The sequence below is a fragment of the Homo sapiens genome, chromosome 12 (assembly GCF_000001405.40).
Source record: "Homo sapiens chromosome 12, GRCh38.p14 Primary Assembly".
NCBI classification, from domain to species: Eukaryota; Metazoa; Chordata; class Mammalia; order Primates; family Hominidae; genus Homo; species Homo sapiens.
In genome coordinates, this window is record NC_000012.12 from 14,803,643 (window position 1) to 14,825,359 (window position 21,717).

Consider the following 21,717-nt stretch of genomic DNA (forward strand, 5'->3'; position numbering starts at 1 on the left):
TTGCGCTCATCTAGTACAATAGGAATTAGAAGAAGATAGCTGCTAACTGAGTGGCTGACGGTCCTGTCTCTCGAGTTGGAGGCATCTTGACTTAGTTGCTGGGAGCCTGGTACGTTGAGCCGTCCGAGAACGGTACATTCTGCAGATAAAGAAGCGTTCTGCGTTTTCTGTCTTTTGGAATTACCTTAGTTTTTGCATTTTTCTGTTTCTTATGACCCAAGCAGGTGCGATCCTTTAGGGGTGTCTCCGTGTGTAAACGAATACCCAGATAACATTTGCCACTGAGTTTAATCCGCTTTGTAAGCATCAGGTTATCCCATGTGAGCGCCTAGTACGTGTGGAAATTTAATAGACAGGCAGAACAGAACGTTTGTAGACCACCTGAACAAATAAATTAGCACCCGTATTAGAGTCGCAGATTGCTTATATGGGCGGTGATTTATTATTTGTTAGTAGTGTTTTGAAGAAGAAATACGGGGATACATATGCAGTCGGTTTTAAGTTATATGAGTGGCAAGGTTGATATATATTGGCTATATTCCCGACTGGTCTTTTCACCAGCCAAAAGTCCTCTATGATGTCACTCTACGTACGGGATTCTTCACTTAACTCTAGCCTTCGCCCTTTCCCTACCTTCTATCCCCTCTTTCCGTGAGTCAGCCCCCACTTATTTCCCTTAAAGGTAAGTTTAAACATTTAAAAAACTATCTTAGAGGATACGCTTGGTTATTTCTAATCTTAACCTGACTATCCCATGTAGGAAGGCTATTCTTACCACCAGTTATAAATATTTCAAAATATTGATGGAGATACATACTAATTTTTAGCAGAATCTTTAAACTGCCCTTGAAGGTATAAGATCGGTCCTATACCTAAACTTACCTTTGTGTTAGGAAATTCTTGATTTGATTTTAGACTGAATTTGAGTGTCAGAAAGCAATGACGAGATATTGTAGGTTAAAGCTGATAAACCAGGTAGTACATAAAAAAGAAAATAATCTTGAACTGCGAAGGTGAGCTAAGTTGTAATGTTTTGCAACTAGTTTTTTTTCTTTCCTAACACATTAGTGATCATAGTTTTGCAACTCGTTTTGAAAAACAATGCAAGAAGAGAAAGAGAAAACAGTGTATGTTGGAAATATTAAAGTCTTTCATGTAGCTAAAATTTTATATGTAGCTACTATTTTTAAGATATGCTGAGCAGTTTTTATTTCAATACATTTCTTGTACTTGGATGGGAGAATCAACTATAACAAACACAGTCTGGCATCAACAGCATATTAATAATTTTGTCAGTATAGACTAAAAGAGTCCTCATGGGAATTATTGGTTGGCAAAGGATTTAGAAAACAAACACATCTGCAGAGATTCAGCGGAACCATTAATAGGCTTCCATAGCCTTTGGCGTTTTCTAAAATCAGGTAATTAGTGAAATGGCCCACCTAATGCGTCATGTAGCAAAGGCAGCTGCCTCCTTTTTGCTAGTGTTGAAAATGAAATTATATTCTTTTTTCTGAAAGCTTATAATAAATTATGACTTTCTTTTAAATGACAAATGCTTTGAGTAGTGACCTTCTATTCTGCATCCTAAATGCAATATGTGTAGCTGTGTTTTGCTTTCTTGTCTTCTAAATGTTTCAGTGTTTGAACATTCACTTGAGCGATATTTAATTATCACAGTTGGTCAGGGTTGATTGCAGTGACTGAAACAGGACCTTGATGTTTTTAGTTTTGATTTTTACCATTTTCAAATCCATCCGGTTTACATTGTGTAATCAGTAGACGTTTACAGATCAGCTTCCTGTCCTAATTGAAGCACATTGTTACAAACCATTTTTCAGTCTCTTCTAGTTTACAGAAAACCAGATTTACTCTGATGGTCAAAAATATGGTAGTATTTCTGTCTCATTCGAAGGCCTAGAGTTTGTGTCTAGGCAGAAGTTACTGAGTATGTCCCCTTATAACTAAATGATGTTTGAAGCTGGTGGTAGAAATGAAAGTCTCTGCATTCAATGTGAAATTTAAGAATTTTACTGAAATTAGAAAAGAGAAAAGTAACCCCTATACTTGCTACTCTACGATAGCATTTACCCCAATGTTGATCTGGTAGAGCAGGGTGTGAAAACATCCAGGGAGAAAATTTTTTTACCTCACAGGGTCTAGCATCAGCTGATCCAGGCATTGTTGACTCAAAACTCATCTAGTCATCTAGTCTTGGCATCTCCAGTTTCCCTCTCCAAATTGTTTATCTTATTTAAGTCCATATTGGAAGCCTATAGAAAATGAACCTAATCAAAGAAGCAAACACTGTTACTGAAAAGGAAGCAGAAAAACACTTCAGTGGCAAATAAAACGGCTGTTCATTTCATTTGGTGTTTCACTGTATTGATGACCTCAGTAATGGCATGATTATATTTTTCTGAGGCTGATTTGAACTCCACCAGATGCTTCTCATAACTTTTGATGGCTGCTTGAAGCTGTGTTTTTTCCACTGCTCCCAGGATGGCACGGACAATCATATCTATGCCAAGGCCAAGAACAGCAACTCCAATACTACCAAGGAGAGAAGCACCAATTTGAGCTAACACAGTGACCAACTTGTTAATTATGCCAGTTGTGACATTTGAGCCCACAAGTTTAACAGCGACTGCACTGGCTGCAGATGTAGCTTCTCCCAGGATGACCGAAATAACCTTTTGCACTATTGCAATTTTGTCTGTTTCCTTTTCCTTAATATCCTGAAGTTTTCTATAGAGGGTTGGCTCTAGCTTATCTTTTAGTGCTTCATCAACCTTCTGCAATTCCTTTTGGATTTTCATAATGGCTTGGATGATGAGGTCACAGTTTTCTTTGATGGTCCCATCTCTTTTCATCTCAATGGAGGCCAGCCTGCACCCCAAGTGCATATTTAGAACCTCAGTCAGCTTATTGGTGACATCGAAGCTGTCAGATAAGCAATCAAGAAGCTGCTGGTGAAGACGATTTACTTCTTCCCGCCTTTTTGGGTTCTCTGGGTAAAGGAAGTCACTTTGGGCCATATTTCCAATATGATCGCTGAAAAATAAAATGGTAAATTTTTACTGAAAGTCTTAAAAAATGTCTGCTAACTGTGTAGAAGGGACTAGGAAATCTTTTTCTTCATGCATAGCAAAGAAGCAAGATGCTGTCTAAGGATAATTCCTCAGAACACTCAACAAGTTTTTTTAAAAGAGGGAGTATCGCTGTGTCACCCAGGCTGGAGTGCAGTGGTGCGATCTCAGCTCACTGCAACCTCTGCCTCCCAGGCTCTAGCAATTCTCCTGCCTCAGCCTCCCGAGTAGCTGGGATTACAGGCATACACTGCCATGCCCAGCTAGATTTTTGTATTTTAGTAGAGACAGGGTTTCATCATGTTGCCCAGGCTGGTCTCCAACTCCTGACCTCAGGTAATCCACCTGCCTTGGCCTCCCAAAGTGCTAGGATTACAGGCGTGAGCCACTGTGCCCGCCCTCAGCAGGTTCTTTAAAACAGTTATTTTTATGAAATTTGGAGTCAGTGTATGGAAAGTGTAGGCAACAGAATACAACCCTTTGATGGATAAATTAAGTTATTAGATTTTGTGGTGGTGAGAAATATTCATCGTTTGTCAAGCATCTGTTTATTAATAAGCGTGATTATTTCTAGGTAATATTTAATAACTTTTATTTGAAACAGACCCCAATTTGAAATGCTTAGCTCTTGATTACTAGTGCTCCTTAGTTTCCCGAACCCCTAGTCACCACATTGACCACACCTACCAGACTGATTTCTCTAGCATTTGGAGTTAAACTCTAGTCAGGGCCAGATAAATATTAACATCTCTAAATTTACAGGGCTGTTTTTTGTATTTCAATACTTGGTTATTTTAACTTAAAATATTCAAGTCACTTTATATATCTCTACAGGCAAGTTATTTGTTTTCTAAACCTAAAGGATATCCAAAGGCAACATGTATATCATGCTAGAATCTTTAACAAATTTTTTCTTGTGATAAGAGTATATATTCAAGACTCTTTGGATTAAAATTTCATGTGGGGAGAAGGTAGGCACTATACAGGGCACAGTGTTAATCAGATAATCATGTGATTATTCTCCATTTGCAAAGCTTATAAATTAAATTATTTAGAATAGTCTAAATAGTATCGCACTTGGGCATTATTTAGATAAACTAGAGTGAACGTCAGAAAAAAAATGCCATTTTACAAAAGTATTAAAGAATAAGGGGCCGGGCATGGTGGCTCAGGCCTGTAATCCCAGCACTTTGGGAGGCCCAGGCAGGTGAATAACTTGAGGCCAGGAGTTCAAGACCAGCCTGGCCAACACAGCGAAACCCCATCTCTACTAAAAATACAAAAATTAGTTGGGTGTGGTGGTGCATGCCTGTAATCCCAGCTACTCTGGAGACTGAGGCAGGAGAATCACTTGAACACGGAGGTGGAGGTTGCAGTGAGCCAAGATGGTGCCACTGCACTCCAGCCTGGGCAACAGAGCGAGACTTTGTCTCAAAAAAAAAAAAAGTACTGAGAGTACATCATAGAATGAATAAAATAAACTTGACAAGAGACTTCAGTGTTTGTCCTTTTGGCCTACAGTACCTAACAGTCATGCTCTTCTGTGTTTATTTGGGTGAAAAATCTAAATTTGAGCCAGTAAGAGCACGATGCTACTCAATATGCATACTTTGAGTAGCCTTCCTATGTGGCTGGTACTTTTTTTTTTTAAATTACACTCTTGAGAGAAAAGAGAGAAAAAATGGAGTTCTTTATCCATATCCATGTGGAATCTGGCACAGCCTCTTTTTGAGTAAATAATATCGTAATTAATTTGGACCGTATGTCTTCTAGCACTACGGTTCTTATTCTGCTTAAGGGGAACCTCAGAAGTATGGAATGTAGGAATGAAGATTTTTTTCTTTCAAGAAAGTAAACCTGAAAATAACCTATCCTCCAAATCGTATGGATATAAGTTGGCAACGGAAAAGAGAAAATTTTTCTGAAATGGTTTAGGAACATAAATAACCATGTATGTTGTTAGATTTAGAAAAATGCACTGGAACCTCCTGGTAAAATAAACTACCATGGTCAGAAATTAATTTTTATCCTTGATTCAAATCCAGCACACATACACATATATACAGGCATGCACACATGTAACAGACACACATTTCCACAAAACAATACTTAGAAAATTTCCTAATCCAATTCCCTTTAAAGAAATTGCTTGTTGATGATCCAGTAAATATTCTCTAAACTTACAATGGGTTGGAAACTGTAATTTGCTAAGCACAGATTTGGACTTTGAATTTTCTTTTTTCTTCTAGTAATTTTCCATTAAACGTTTGTCTTTTTTGACTCCCGGTTTTCAGATCTTATTATGAAGTGAAAACTCTAGTTTCTGACTGACAGGAGAAAATTAGCTATATTCCTTTTCAGACAGTTAGGTGAGAGGAGTTTTCTTATCCTGAAAAAGTTCAAAATATCTCTAGCAGCTATCATATGCCATTATATGAAGGCATAGTTTCCAGAAAAGGTGGGTGGTTCTGTCTACCTCAAGATAAACAAATGGAGAAATGAACCTTCCTCCTGGATGGGAGGCAGAATGCTTCCAAGTGGTCGGCTCCTTTTCAATTAACTCATTGTTTTAGCACAACTTCACGAATTAATCGTAAAATGTATCTGAAAGACTGAACAGGTGAGCCTTATTTTTTTTCAGAAAATAAAATAGAACTCTTCTCCCCCCAGTATTAAAACACCATAAAAACAAAATAGTAAACAGTATGGTACAGGTACAAGAGTCAGTGAATTAATGGAACAAATTAGTCCCCAAAGCAGACCCTTCTATCTGTTTAATAATAATAAATTGTAGAATCTCAAATCAATAATAATCGAAATTATTACTCCATAAATGGTCTTGAGTCATGGGCTAGACTTTGGAGTTAAAAATTAATAACAAAATTGTTAGTGTAATATATGTAGAAAATTAAATAATAGCTAGAAGAAAATGGATAATTTTCAAATATCGGTATGGAGTGGGACTTTATAAGCCTAAAACCAATAAAAAAAAAGCACATGCAAAAATTTGACTAACAAAGATGGCCAATGTAAAAAGAACTGAAAACAAGCTGGAGAGAATGCAAAAAAAGTATTGTTATTATTTTCAAAAAGCAGTGACAATCTAATATATAAATGAGCAAACCACCCTGAACAGAGTACAAAAAATAGTATCTAATAAAATGGTGGGAAAAGTTCAGTCTTACTAGAAATCAAAGTGTAAGACATTGTACGTTTTCAACTACTAAAGTAATGTTTTTCCTCCTTTTAAGTAGTCTTGCTCTTGCACTTGCGCTTAGACTCTTTTTCGTGGGATCTAGACATCAGTTCATGACTTCGTTCCAATAACGAGTTTGGCTAAAGAAATGTTATGATGTGCTAAGAATTATGTTTCCCTTATAATGAAAAAGGACTTTTATTCTGAGTCAGACTTACCTTCCTAGCTTTTTTCCTTGGGTGGGGAGTGGGGAGGGTTTTCTTGTGCTAACATATCTTCAGCAGGCCTGCCACCATACCTGCTTAGGTATGTCTGAGCTCCAGTTCTGAATACAGCTCAAGGTTATTTCTACACCCCAAATGAGATAAGAAGCACTGGGGAATTAGGAAGAGGAGAGGTGGGGATTGAAAGTGAAACCATTGAATTGTGTTTTGGACAGGTGAAGTTTGAAGAGCTTAGCGAAGAAGGCAATTATTGATTCATTAACAATTCATCTAATAGGTTAGTACTTACCACGTGTAAGGTCATATGCCAGCACCACTCTGCAAAGCATACAAAGATGAAAAAGACATGGTCCTTGCTTTTTTGGAATTTCTAATCTAGTTAGGAAGTTAAGACAGATTTATAACTGTAATATCAAGTTGAAAGTAATATGTCGTACAAAATTAAAGGTACACTTGGTATTTGACTTGTGCAAATTTGTTTTAAACAACCCACACTTTAATATATAATATATTGGCACTGTGGCCATGTGGAGACATTTAGTCATCTAGTAAGGTTAACAATTTGTAACCTTTCAAGTATTCTTAGATATGTGCTTGACAGTTGAGGAGAGGCTGGGCACCACATGGAGAACCATAGTTGGCAGTGTGCAGTATTTTCGCTATTGCCCTTAACAATTTAGTTCTGACTCCCAAAGTGATTACTCCACTCAGCAAAACAAAAGCCCTGCAATTATTTGGAGTCACCCTTCTTAAAGATCGTAGTTGTTACTCAGGCAAGCTTCAAGTGATATTTTACAAACAACCCATAATATTGTGCCCGAGAGGAGTTCTGAGCCATATACTTTCTCCATCTTATTCCATTTTCATTGATGACCTGTCACTTTCAAAGATTGTAGCACCAACAGCAAGTGGTATATTTAATCCAGCTCTAATTAACTACACCTATTGTATGGTAAGTTTGAACTTTTACATAATTTGAATTGTCACATGATGGTGCTTCCTGTTGGTGAAAAGTTCCACTTGGGGAATTACCATCCACTTTTGTACAGAGTTTGTGCTATTATTTGAATATTTTCTTGTAGTTATCCATGAAATGGGTTCTGTAGTGCCCTGGAGCAGCCCATTGGGAATTGCTAGACAGCAGGTGGAGCTCTTGGTCTCTGGGTCTCCCATTTTTCACCTGGGCCTTTGCTGGACTGGAGCAGCTGTGCTTTCTCTTGCTCTACACATTTGGGCTCTGGGTAGGTAAAATTTTATTTGATGAGAGAGTTCTGTTGCTAAAACAAAGTTTGGAAATTTTTGACTTGTTATTTTATTAAAAAATGACAAAAAACATCTGAAAGTGCTGATGTCATTGGTCAGCACACCTTAAGAAATGAAAATGGAGACAAAGGTTAGCTTGAGATGGATGCTTACTGCACCTAACCTTGTTAATTTTTTTGAATTGAGAAGTCAACATTTAAGATTAAAGGGCATCTAAGATATGGTAGAAATATGCTGATAATTGTGTCTAAAAGTTAAGTTTTATTTAATGACATCATACAGTTGTTTTAGTTTTTCAGAAAAGGAACTACCTTACAAAATGAAAATGTACTGATCATCATATGTTCAAATACAACTCTTCAGGGTACTTTCGTGAATAACAGTAGTGCGTTGACTGTCAAGTGCTGTTGAACTTAGAAATTAATATCAAGGTGATTAGAGAAAGCTTCATGGAGAATGCAATATATGATTTATACTTTGATAGATGGTACATTATGGAGAAATTAAAAGTGAACGGTTTGGTAAAACGATTTTTAAATATATACTTATTACCAGTAACATATACACTTTTTTAAATAGAGGAGGAAAAACACCCATAAACCTACCATTTCACTTTTGATTTTTGTTATTCTTTTTCAAAATTTGTTTATATGCATAAGTATCTTCACAAAGTTATCATAATAGTATAAATAAAATTCATCTTTTATTCACTTAACACTTTCCCCTATTTATAGCTTTAAAAATATTTGGCCGGGCGTGGTGGCTCACGCCTGTAATCCGAGCACTTTGGGAGGCCGAGGCGGGCGGATCACGAGGTCAGGAGATCGAAACCATCCTGGCTAACACGGTGAAACCCCGTCTCTACTAAAAATACAAAAAATTAGCCGGGCGCGGTGGCGGGCGCCTGTAGTCCCAGCTACTTGGGAGGCTGAGGCAGGAGAATGGCATGAGCCTGGGAGGCAGAGCTTGCAGTGAGCCGAGATTGTGCCACTGCACGCCGGCCTGGGTGACAGAGGGAGACTCCGTCTCAAAAAAAAAAAAAATTTTATTGGTTACGTATACTATTCCCTGTCTTTACCCTGGTTCAATAAATCTAAAATTGTTTCACTATCACTAATATTCTAATGAGCATTTTGATACCCACAGATTTTTTTTCCTCCATTATCTGGATTATTTCCTCAGCATAAGTACCTAGAAGAATTACATAATTAGTGGCATAAGTAATGGGAATTAAATTTTTATTACTTTTGATATGTATCGTAAATTGCATTCCAAAAGCTTTTACTGTGCTACCCCAAATAAATTTTTATAGCAGGATACTGGGTATCCTGCTATAAAATTTTTACAATTTTTATTTTAGATTCAGGAGGTACATACACAGGTTTGTTCCCTGACTATACTGTGTGTTGCTGAGGTTTACTGTGAATGATCCTGTCACCCAGATACTGAGCATAGTGCTGGTATATTTCCCAGTCAAAGATGGTCCTGTTTAAATATTGTTGATTTGGGAAGAGTAAGGTTAAATTTCAAAAAGAGAAGTTCTTGCCTATTTGGAAATACATACTGAAAACATTTAAGATGAAATGAAATGGTCTCAGAGATTTGTTCACAAATAATCTGGAAAGAATAGTGGGGTAGGGTTATAGAGGAAAAAAGATTGGCCTTGTTTTGATAATTTTTAAAGCTGAGTTATGGGTACATGGGAGTTTATTATATTATTGTCTCTACTTCTGTGTATGTTTGAACTTTTCTTATAACAAATAAAAAAGAAAGAAAAAGAAAAACGTGACCCTGTCTAAACCTCTGATGTTTAGTCGTTAGTGCTCTCTGAGGTTTTACATTTCTTCTTGCTGTCACTTTTCTTCACTGTCCAAACAGGGTTTTGCCATCATGCACAGTTTCCTTATCTGGGAGTGTGGAAATAGGGTATAGGTAAAATCAGGAGCTTTTCAGAAGAAAATAACAGCTTCTAACTAGTTCTGAGTCTCCTTTAATTCAAATAAAAATCTGTGGCCTTTAATTAAAACAAAAATTGATCATGATGTGATGATATACTTTCTGATATAAATTCATTTAAAAAATGTTTCTGACCAGAAAGAAGAATATTAAAGTCATTCATCAGCATTTATCAAGTGCTCACTGGTGAAGCCTCTACTGTGTCCCTTGAGGCATTTGAAAACGACAATGTTCCTTGCCCTCAAGACGATAACAGCCTGTTTGGAGACACACAGCAAATGCTCAGAGATATTTAGATACAACATAATTTATGAAGGAGTATAAGTACTATACATTAACCAGTATTAGATTCCACATTCATTCTTTCATAGATAGGTACTGAGTGCCTATATTAATATTAATGACATAGAAGGAAATGTTACTATCCATGTAAACTTCACACATTCACACAGGTATCATTTCATCCTTAATCCTTCTTAGAATTGATGTCTTTACTGCTTCTCTTCCACTCTGACTTAATCAGTCCTAGAAATTGTTAATTTTCTTCCTTCTCTGCTGTCTTCAGAGAAGGCACCAGGAAAGGTTCCTTCCAAATCACAAGGAACATGTCATGGGATCCTCTTATAACAAAGCTGTTTTTTTACTTTATTTTATTTATGGTTAGGATTCAAGACTGACGGGCTAATTCAAATTCCTCCTACTACTGAGAAACAGAGTATTATATCAATACTAATAGAAATATCCACGTTGCTTACCTTGCTGTGTTTCTGAGTTCCGTGGTCCTAGCAGTTGTTTAGGAGTATTGTTAAAGTGCTTTTTCATCTGGTTTCATCTGGATATTTCTGATGGAATGTGATGACTTACAGACTTTGCTAGTCTCTGCTGGGTCCCTCTGCCTGTCTGGTTTATAGGCTATTTCTACATGGCTTGGCCCTCAGAATTCCTTCATTTCCTATTAATAAAAACTTAGTATACAGTATTAAGTTATATAAACTGGAAGACTAATAGTGTGTAAAACTTATTTTTAAATTTCTGTTCTTTAATGGACTTTTTATTGTTGAGAAGCGCTATATAACTGAGCTAATTCAATTTAGTAGAGAAGATGGCTCTTTGATTGCAGCTCTCAGATTTTGGGGTTTTATCTTGTCAACTATTCCAGATACTAAGTTTCTTTTAGCTTCTGTTGCATTTGCACCTCTAACTGTTGCTGATTATTTAAATTCTCAAGATATATAAATGCAGTTACTTGCATCCAATTTTTTTTTCTCTTCTTTCCAGCTAGGAGTTCTCCTCTTTGTCATTCTTTCTCTTCCTGTGTTTGTAAATTGTCTTGACAATATAAAAACCTTAAAGTCCAACTTCACTCTTTTCCCTGAAAGCTCAGATCAGTCTTCCCTGCTGCTTCTTCCCAGCTTCAGTCTTCAGACCCGTTAATTCCTCCACAGCAAAGACACCTGAGTGGCAGGGAAATCACTCAGCCCCAGTGTAACTTAGTGAAAGACAGCAGGCTTTACACTCAGACAGTCCTGGTTTTGTGTACTCCAAGTACCACTTACTAGTCATGTAATCCTAAGAAAGTCACTTAGCCTGAGTTTTCCCATTGGTGTAATATGAGTATTAGTTAATAATTTATGGATTAAATGGGATAGTGTTTATAAAGTAATTGGCATAGTGGCTGATATGTGGCAAAATCTTATGAAACGGTAGCTATTCATATATTAACAACAGTATCTCCTGGTGGAGGGGAGAGGAGAATGGGTGGGTACAGGATACAGAATCAAAATGCCAGACAGGCAGACAGGAAACTTTAAAATCTAAAGATGCTGCCCTGTGATTCTAAAGAAGGGCTAAGTGGGGTCACTTTTCTACTTTTGTCCCAGTGGATCATCTTGCCCTTGATGTATCCAGGGCCCCACCACGTACGGATGTGTGGCCAGTGTATCTGAACTAGGTATGGATGTTAAGTAGGATTTTAATAGATGTTTGGGGAGGATGGTGGTATAGAGGAAATAATACAGATAGAGGGAACACTGAGAGCAAAGGAGCTGAACCAAAAATTGTAGAACATTTTCAGGGAACAAAAACCAACCTGCTGGTGATACAGGGTGTAAGTGGGAGCAGTTAAGGGAAGGTAAGTCATGGAAAATTGAAAATAGTTTGTAGATAGCCTTAGATGTCATGCTAGGAAATTGTATTTCATTCTGTAGATAATAATGAACCATTAAAAAATCCTTTTAATTATGGTGTAATATTTGGAGATTTGGATTTCAGGAAGGGTACATTATGTAAACTTGATTAGTAGGTATGGACAATAAAGCATAAGTTACCAACCCCATTGCCTACAGTATGTGGACAAAATATGTCTGTCTTTTACCCTGTCTTAAAACAGTTGCATTTTGTTTCCGAAGAGGCTATTGTTGAAGAGTACCATTTAACCCACTTGTTCCTAAGGTGTTTGTTTCTCTCCTATTTCTACCCTTCTTAACATTTATTGCCTACTCATCCACTCCTTTCTCTCCTACCACATAGCAGCCTAAGTGGAGTTGCCAAAATTAAGGATAAACAGTAACAATGCAAAATAATTATCAGAGAAAAACTAGAAGCAATATTGACTTCATACTGAGCCCCCTAATCAACTTGAACTTCTTTTTTCTGCAATCAGTTTCTCAGGTTGAAAACTTGAACTTCTTAAATCTTTCTTGACTACTAAAGCCAGTATTAACGTCAAGTCAATAGTCAGAACTGAACCTTAGGAAGGAGGCACATTTTCTTAGTGTAGATCTTGGAGTCAGGGTGGTTTTAGGGAATCAGGAAGGCTGATTTGACAAGTTTCACTGCTGGATTGACAGTGGTGGGAAATGAGAGTGAAAGCAATAATATCTCCAAACTTATCTGCATGTAGCTCTCACTTGATCGTCTTTTATTTAGAATGCTTTATTTTCCCTTTTATCCTAAAGCTCATCCCCTTCTTTTCCTAAAATCTCTGCTCAAAAACCATATATTACATGACCCTGAATAAACTGCCCGATTCAATTACGATTGTTTCAACAATTTGCCAGCACTTATGAATGCTGCACTTAAAAAAAAATCAAGCAAACCTAAAAATAATCACCTTTTTGACCCAATAGCCTCCTTTATCTTTCTTCTTCACAGTTAGACTTCCCAGTTTGGTAGTGTACATGCATTGCCTCTACTTCATTTTCTCCATTAATTTTCCAGTATTTATAATCTAGCTTCTGTACATATTCCTGCCTCTTGCAAAATTGCTTTTCTAGCATTGTCAATGACATTGTAATGACTAAACATAAGAAATAATTTACAGTGTTTATCATACTTGCAGCATTTGAAATTGCTGATCAGGTCTTTATATTTTCTCTTTTTTTTTTTTTTTTGAGACAGAGTCTCACTCTGTCACCCAGGCTGGAGTGCAGTGGTGCCATCTTGGCTCACTGCATCCTCCGCCTCCCAGGTTCAAGCAATTCTCCTCCCTCAGCCTCCCGAGTAGCTGGGATTACAGGCGTGTGCCACACCCAGCTAATTTTTGTATTTTTTAGTAGAGACGGGGTTTTGCCATGTTGGGCAGGCTGGTCTCCAACTCCTGGCCTTAAGTGATCTGCCTACCTCAGTCTCCCAAAGTGTTGGGATTACACTAAAATAAAATACTTAAATATAAATCTAAGAATATATGAGCCACCATGCCCGGCCAATTTATCGTTTTTTCTTTAATGGATATGCTTTTGGTGTCATACATATCAAAGGACTAATCAGCTAACCAAAAGTTACAAGATTTTCTTCTGTATTTTCTTCTGTTTTATGGTTTTATATTTTTCATGTCCCATTTTGAGTTAATTTATGTATGTGTATGGTATGACATAAAATCAAGGTTTATGTTTTTGCATATGGGTATCAGGCTTTTCCAGCACCATTCATTGAAAAACCCTAAACTTTCTTTTTTTGTTGTTGTTCTTTCTTTGTTTTTTGTTTTTATTTATTTCTTCCAAAACAAAAGGGAGGATACATGTGCAGAATGTGCAGGTTTGTTACACAGGTATACATGTGCCATGGTGGTTTGCTGCACCTATTGACCCATCCTTTAAGTTCCCTCCCCTCGCCCCCCACTCCTCAACTGGCCCTGGTGTGTGTTGTTCCCTTCTCTGTGTTCATGTGTTCTTATTGTTCAACTCCCACTTATGAGTGAGAACACGTGGTGTTTGGTTTTCTGTTCCTGTGTTAGTTTGCTGAGGATGATGGCTTCTGGCTTCATCCATGTCCCTGCAAAGGACATGATCTCATTCCTTTTTATGGCTGCATGGTATTCCATGGTGTATATGTAACACATTTTCTTTATGCAGTCTATCATTGATGGGCATTTGGGTTGGTTCCATGTCTTTGCTGTTGTAAATAGTGCTGCAATAAACATACATGTGCATGTGTCTTCATAGTAGCATGATTTATAATCCTTTGGGTATATACCCAATAATGGGATTGATGGGTCAAATAGTATTTCTGGTTCTATATCCTTGAGGAATTGCCATACTATCTTCCACAATGATTGAACTAATTTACATTCCCACTAACAGGGTAAAAGCATTCCTATTTCTCCACACCCTTGCAAGCATCTGTTGTTTCCTGACTTTTTAATAATCTCCATTCTGACTGGCATGAGATGGTATCTCACTGTGGTTTTGATTTGCATTTCTCTGATGATCTGTGTTGTTGAGCTTTCTTTTTTATACATTTGTTGGTCGTGTAAAGATCTTCTTTTGAGAACTGTCTGTTCATATCCTTTGCCCATTTTTTGATAGGGTTGTAAATTTGTTTAAGTTCCTTGTAAATTCTAGATATTAGACCTTTATCATGTAGGTAGATTGCAAAAAATTTCTTTCATTCTGTAAGTTGCCTGTTCACTCTGATGATAATTTCTGTTGCTGCGCAGAAGCTCTTTAGTTTAATTAGATTCCATTTGTCAATTTTGGCTTTTGTTGCAATTGCTTTTGGCATTTTTGTCATGAAGTCTTTGCCCATGCCTATGTCCTGAATGGTATTGCCTAGGTTTTCTTCTAGGGTGAAAACACCTAAACTTTCTATGTTAAATTGCCTTTGCATCTTTGTTAAAAATCAGTTGACCGGCCAGGCACAGTGGCTTATGCCTGTAATCCCAGCACTTTGGGAGGCTGAGGCAGGCAGATCATGAGGTCAGGAGATGGAGACCATCCTGGCCAACTTGGTGAAACCTCTTCTCTACTAAAATACAAAAAATTTAGCTGGACATGGTGGTGTGTGCCTGTACTCCCAGCTACTTGGGAGGCTGAGGCAGGGGAATGGCTTGAATCTGGTTGGGGGCGGAGGTTGCAGTGAGCTGAGATTGCGTCACTGCACGCCAGCCTGGTGACAGAGCAAGACTCTGTCTCAAAACAACAACAACAAAAACAATCAATTGACCACATTTGTGGGTCTTTTTCTAGACTTCCTGTTCTGTTAGGTTGGTCTACATATCACCAATACTACACTGTCTCAATTACTGTGGTATATCTTAATATTAGATTGTGTGAGTCCTCTAACTCTGTTCCTTTAGAAAAATCTTTGTTTATTCTTGTTCCTTTACATTTACATATATATTCTAGAATTCACTGTTCTGTATCTATAAAGAATCTTGGTGGCATTTTTATTGTGATTGCATTAATTCTGTGGAGTAATTTGGGAAAAATTGACATCTTAACTACATAAGTCTTCCAATCCATGGACAGAGTTTGAGTTGACATCTTTGCTATATAGAGTCTTTCAGTTCATGGACAGAGTTTATCTCTCCATTTATTTACATTTTCTTTGATTTTTTTTACTTCAGAATTTTATTTTTTTAAAATCTTAGTGCACAGATTATGCACATATATTCTTAGATTTATATTTAAGTATTTTATTGAGAGAGTATTATAAATGATACTTATACAAATGATTGGTTCCCTATTGTTCATTCCTAGTGAATAGAAAACAATCGATATTTGAATGCTGACCTTGCATCTGCTAAAATTACTAATAGCTCTAAGAACTTTTGTGTAGATTCCTTGGGATTTTGTATGTAGACATCATGTTGTCTAGAGAGGTAGTTTTATCTCTTCCTTCTCAATTTGAATATTTTCTTTTTCTTGTCCCACATCACTTTCTAGGATTTCCAGTATGATATTAAATAGAACTAGTGAACGTGAACATACCTGACTAATTCCCAATCCTGGGGGGTAGCAACTAGTCTTTTATTATGTTAGCTGTGGTTCTTTGTAAGAGCCCTCTATGATTAAGGAAGTTTTCTTATATTCCTAGTTTGCTAAGAATTTTTATTATTAATGGATATTGAATATTTAAAAATGCCTTTTCTGCATCTACTGATATGATCATATGGTTTTTCTTGTTTAGTTTGATTTTTTAATGTTGAACTAACCTTACATTTTTGGGATACACCTTAAATTGTTCTTAAGGAATATTGGTCTAGAGTTTTCTTATTTTTCTGCAATGGTAGCCTTATAAAATGAGTTGAGAGGTATTCTCCCTTCTGTTTTCTGGAGGATATTGTATAGAATTGTTATTCTTTTTTAAATGTTTGTTTGAATTCACAAGTGAAACCATCTGTGCCTTGATTTTCTCTTCTAGAAGGTGTTTAACTACAGGCGCAATTTCTTTAAGAAATATAGGTTTATTTAAGTTTTTTGTTTCTACTTGGAAGAGTTTCCATAGCTTATGTCTTTTAAGGGAATAGGCCTATTATATTTAGACTGTTGAATTTATGCACTCAGAGTTGTTTATAGTGTTCTCTCGTTATCCTTTTTATATCTGTAGGGTCATAGTGACATCTCATTATTTACATTGGTAATTTGTGTTCTCTCTCCTTTTTTCTCTGGTCAATCTGGCTTAAAGTTTATTGGTTTTTCTTTAAACACTTTGTAGTTTTGTTGGATTTTATCTATTTTTTCTGTTTTCAATTTCACTGATTTCTACTCTTTATTATTTTTTCCTTTTGCTTACTTTGAATGTTTGCTCTTTCTTTTCTAACTTCTTAAGATAGAAGTTAAAATTATTCATTTTATATCTTCCTTTCTAATATAAACACTTAATCTACAGATTTCTCTCTAAACACTGCTTTGGTTTCATCCCACAGATTTTGATATATTTTCATTTTCATTCAGTTCAAAATAATTTCTATATTTTTGTGACTTCTTTTTTGAGCCACAGATTATTTAAGGGTGTGTTGTTTAATTTACAATATTTTGTAATTTTTCATGTATCTTCTTTGTTGACTTCTATTTTAATTCTATTAAGAGAAGATTTATTGTCTTTTACATATATGAAAAAAACTGCTGGAATTTTTAATTGGAATTGTGTTGTATTTATAAATTAGTTTGAGGAGTACTGACATCTTAGCAATATTGAGTGTTTTGGCCCATTAACAATATATATCTTTCTATTTATTTAGGTCTTCCCTAATTTTTCTCAGCAGTATTTTACAGTTGTAAGTGTAGAGATATTTGATCTCTCGTCAGATTTATCTATAAATATTTCATATTTTTAATGATATTGTAAAGGTCATTGTTTTAATTTTAATTTCTGATTTTTATTTTGTTGCTAGTATATAGAAATACAATTGATTTTGTACATTTGATCTTGTATTTTTCAACCTTGTGAAACTTAGTTATTACTTCTAGAAATGCATATTTAATGTAATTATTGATATGCTTAAATTAAGTGTAACATTTAATCTTAGTTTTCTGTTTTTCTGTTCTGTTTTTCAAATTTCTCTGTTTTCCTTTTCAAGCCATCTTTTGAGTAATATAAGTAGTTACTTAAATAATTTTGAAATTTCATTTTAATTTGCCTATTGACGAAAATCTGAATTAGTATCCTAGGGCTGCTGTCACAAATTACCTCACACTTAGTGATTTTAAACAACAGAAATGTACCCTCTCAGAGTTCTCAAGGCTGGAAGGCTGAAGTCAAGCAGGACCTCTCTCCCTCTGGGGGCTCTGAGGGAGAGTCTATTCTTTGCCTCTTCCAGCTCTGGTGGCCATGACCATCCCTTAAGTTGGGGCCACATCACCTCCATTTCTGCTTCCATGGCCCCATTGTTTCCTGCTCTGTTTTTAATGGTTACTCTAGAGATTATAATATACTTCCACATTTCACACAATCTACTTAGAATTAATATTTTATCACTTCAAGTAAAATCAAGAAGTCTTTCAGCTACGTAAGTCTCCTTACCCTCTCTCCTTTATGATGTAATTGTCATATACATTAAGTCTACATGCATTGAAAATCCCAACAGTGCTATTTTTTGGTTATAATTTTTGCTTCTTTCTGTGGTCTGCCACCTGCTGTTTGATTCCCGGGGGTCCCCTTTCCTGGTGTTCTGGCTAGAAAACAATTTCAGCTCTTCCCATTGCAACTGGTTCTCACCTGGGGGCAAAGCAGTGAGAGAAAGAAGCCTGCAAGGTCACTACCACCATCCCTGCACCACAGTTGCTTCTGCCTAGGGTAGAGTGGGAAGAGTGAAAAGGGGTCCACCCCATAAGGACAGCGTTTTCACTGCCAGTTGACAGGGGCAGGGGCAAAGGACTGGCTGACCTCTGCTGTACTTGTGAGGTGTGTGTGGGGGTGGGGTGGGGAGTAGGGGATGGGGGTGGGTGGCACTGCTGTTACTTGTTAACGCTCGAAGTCAAAAGTGTTTGGAGCTGCCTCTGGTCACGACTAGTTGGGGGCAGACAGAGGGTGGGGTGGGGGGGCTACCATTTTGTTGTTGGCAACTAGATCAAAAGGGATCTGCCCGGCAGAGCCCCTGCACCTGATTTGCTGTGTAGAGTGGGTTTATTTTGGAGCTTTCCCTGTTTGGGCTTGTTCACAGTTCTAATTCCAGGCTGCCCTAGAGCCCAAGATGGGATATATAGGAAGCAGGAGAAGACAAACGACAACAACAACAACAACAACAACAACAAACACAGAAAAACACACCCTCAAACAAAAAGTCAGAGCTTCATTGCTTTATTGTCCTTTAAATGCTGTACTCCCTACTTCCTTGGCCTTCTGTCATCCACCTTTCAGAATTATCTGATAGTGATTTTATATATTCAGTCCAGGATTTTTAGTTGTAATCAGTAGGAAAGATCAGATGGAGTGTGCTTAGTCTACCTTAACTGGAACCAGAGCCCCTCTATGTAATTTGTAATGCTTTATCCAGTATTTTTCACTACATTGAATAGTTAAGGGTAGTATCCTTGAGTGTAGTGTAATTCAGTATATCAATCTATCCATATATTCGGGATCCAGCACCCAGTATTTGATATGTGGTATAAATTTGGCGATACAACCCTATTCTACCCTGTTTTAATTATTTTTGTTATTATTTTTATTGAAGCATAGTACCATTTTTGTTTCAACGTATGTATAGCTTTCCTGCCCTTGGCAGGGGGAGTTATCTTCATATTTAGACTATACTTTCAGTTTCTTTATGGTTGCCAAATCGACTTTTATTTTTCATTTGGATTACTGCTTTGCTTTGCAGTGTTGGAACTTATTTGTTGGAGAAATGTCTTCAGAGTCAGAAAAGGATAAAGAGAGACTGATTCAAGCTGCCAAAATGTTCTTCTTTCATGTACAAGATCTTGCTTCTGTCATAAACACACTGACTGAATTGTTTAGCCGCAGTATGAATACTCAAATCCTTTTGATGGCTGTGAAAAACAATAGTTACATTAAGGATTTTTTTGAGCAAATGCTCAAAATTTTTAAGGAGATGCAATCTGTAGTGGATGCAAGACATGACAAAATTCAAAAGGAGTCTTTATGTTCCAAGGTTGCAATGGCCATGTGCTCTGTGGTTCAGAAGAGTACCAATGTAGAGGAGTTGCATCAGTCAGCTAAAGAAGTATTCAAAAGTGCCCATACGCCAGTCATCATCTCTGTGCTAAACAGCAGTAACATCCTTGGGAGTCTGGAATCTTCTCTTTCACACTTGATGAAATTCCCCATCATGAATCTTCAATTAAGTGACTTCTATACAGAAGACACCAAAGAGCAATCAGATGTCACCACATCTGAGAGAACCAGAAGTCCTCCAGGTTCTTCCAAAACCACTATGATAGACACCTTGAAAAAACTGCAGGATGTACTAAAAACTGAGGATTCCAAAAATCCCACAAAGTCAGCAGCAGATTTGTTGGAACAAATTGTCAAGGCTATGGGACCAATCTTAGAGATCCTCCAAAAAGCGATAAAGACTATGGAAATGAATATTTCTGTGTTTAAGAAAGCCAGTGACAAGTAGGGATGCAACAGAAATGTTCATTTCTGTCAGAAAACTACTTAAAATCTTATGGTTTTTCATAGTAGTTTCTAAGATCTTTTGGTGCCAAACATGTGCTATGTTAGAACATAAGTACACAAAAGTCATCTGGCAAAACATTTACCTGTAGTTTTGCTTTATTAAAATAAAAAGAAATAATTAAGAAAGCCTGTTTGAAATGTCAGTCACTAAGAAGAATATATTGTTGAAAAAAACAAAGTGGTATTACATTTGAGGATGTTTCTAAATATTGTGTTTCATCTTAAAGCATAATTAAAACAACCCTAAAGTAGTTCCCACTCTTAACTATTCTATTTCCAGTGAGAAATCCAGGTAAACTGTAAATATTATCATTAGATAGAAAATCTAGGCCTGGGAAACAAAATAAACTCCATTTTTGTCACTCATATACCAATTTCTATATACTTCAGTACCTTGACGATCAGAAGCCATCACTAAATATTTTAAATATGATTCATAAGTAAGTGAGAACAGTGAATGAGCAATAATAGACTTTTCTTGCTTATGTGAGTAAGACCAGAACAGATAGTTCATTCTCACTTGTCTCCTGAGGTCTTATGATTAGAAAATACTAGAGGTGGAAAAATGGAAGTACTCTAGCCTTTCACAAAGAAAAGACTTTCACAAGGAAAACACTTGCAGAAGTAGGATATCTGAGATGTGCTTTATTTAAAGAAATGAGATAGGGCAGTCTCTTTGTCTACCATAAGTCTTTGGTTCTCATGCATTGTAAATGAGTATGTACTCCTAAGATTGGTGTTGAAGTTAACTATTTCACATGATACCTGATAGAACTCTGTTGAGAATAGGAAAAGCAATAATAACTCCAAGCCAAAGCCATCATTGTAATTCCCATTGTCATTTAAAATAAGGAGTCCCTTCTCCATCCTCATATAATTTCAAAATGTTTGGTAGGGAGGGTCAAGTGGATTTTGACCATTACCAGAGCTTGGAGGTTCTGGAAAAAACGATGAGTTTCAATACATTAACTCTCATTTTCTCTCCACAGCAAAGCTGAAACCTTGCTTATTTGTAATAGGTTTCTATTAAGAACTCTATTATTTTGAAGAGGATGTTAAATTGATTCATTTGCTACCATACACATACACACACACACACACACACACACACAGAGGGTGAGAGAGAGGAGAAGGGAGACAGGACTCTCACTTTGCTACTTTTTCTGGACCTATATGTGTCTAGGGTTTCAATCTCCTTTTAGTTTTAGGATTATGTTTCAGAATGTTGGATGCAACAGCTAGGGGGATTCATATGGAAATGAATGAGACAAGGACCAAGAAAAGTCTTGGTGCATAGTCTTTCTGTGAGGTGACTGGAAGAATAGCTGGTGGCAGTTCACAGGAAGTCCTTGCCAGATGCCAATGGGAATGACAACCAGGGTGTTAGAGATGGGAAGTGCCCACTTCAATAAAGATGAGTGGTCTTCCAGTGCTGGTGGCTGTTGTTAGGCTGGTGATCACTTACAGTGTTTCACATTTTCCCACCACTGGGTACCACCAGTCTGACCACTCTAATGACATCATGTCTGCTGCTGCCTCCTGGCTTCTGGAAATACTGAGGAAAAGCTGTATTTTTTTCTCAAACCTATTACTCACATTTAATGTTTCTCTCAAATACTTTGGTTTT

The 21,717-nt window shown here is 36.8% G+C and overlaps 2 protein-coding genes across 8 annotated transcripts, besides 1 other annotated feature; one reads left to right on the forward strand and one right to left on the reverse strand.

The window, feature by feature from the left end:
- Positions 1–27: 27 nt before the first annotated feature.
- Positions 28–20,773, forward strand: C12orf60 (chromosome 12 open reading frame 60). 6 transcript variants are annotated; one of them, XM_011520569.3, is made up of 3 exons: positions 634–682; positions 6,725–6,786; positions 19,270–20,773. In XM_011520569.3, exon 3 carries the CDS (start codon positions 19,294–19,296, stop codon positions 20,029–20,031), a length of 738 nt encoding a protein of 245 aa, XP_011518871.1. In that variant the 5' UTR covers positions 634–682; positions 6,725–6,786; positions 19,270–19,293; the 3' UTR covers positions 20,032–20,773. The 6 variants fall into 6 exon arrangements, with proteins under 6 accessions (XP_016874363.1, XP_016874362.1, NP_787070.2 ...); XM_017018874.2 differs by lacking the exons at positions 634–682; positions 6,725–6,786 and adding an exon at positions 28–224; XM_017018873.2 differs by lacking the exons at positions 634–682; positions 6,725–6,786 and adding an exon at positions 28–132.
- Positions 132–371: an enhancer, noted in NCBI's record as "active region_6057". NCBI's record gives its function as "activates an Ori minimal core promoter by ATAC-STARR-seq in GM12878 lymphoblastoid cells {active_cell/tissue: GM12878}" and the evidence as "EXISTENCE:reporter gene assay evidence [ECO:0000049][PMID:35858748]".
- SMCO3 (single-pass membrane protein with coiled-coil domains 3) lies at positions 1,008–10,540 on the reverse strand. Of its 2 annotated transcripts, XM_017019312.2 has the most exons (3): positions 10,484–10,540; positions 6,799–6,884; positions 1,008–3,054 (listed from the first exon to the last, which is right to left on the reverse strand). In XM_017019312.2, exon 3 carries the CDS (start codon positions 3,036–3,038, stop codon positions 2,361–2,363), a length of 678 nt encoding a protein of 225 aa, XP_016874801.1. In that variant the 5' UTR covers positions 3,039–3,054; positions 6,799–6,884; positions 10,484–10,540; the 3' UTR covers positions 1,008–2,360. The 2 variants fall into 2 exon arrangements, with proteins under 2 accessions (XP_016874801.1, NP_001013720.2); NM_001013698.2 differs by lacking the exon at positions 6,799–6,884.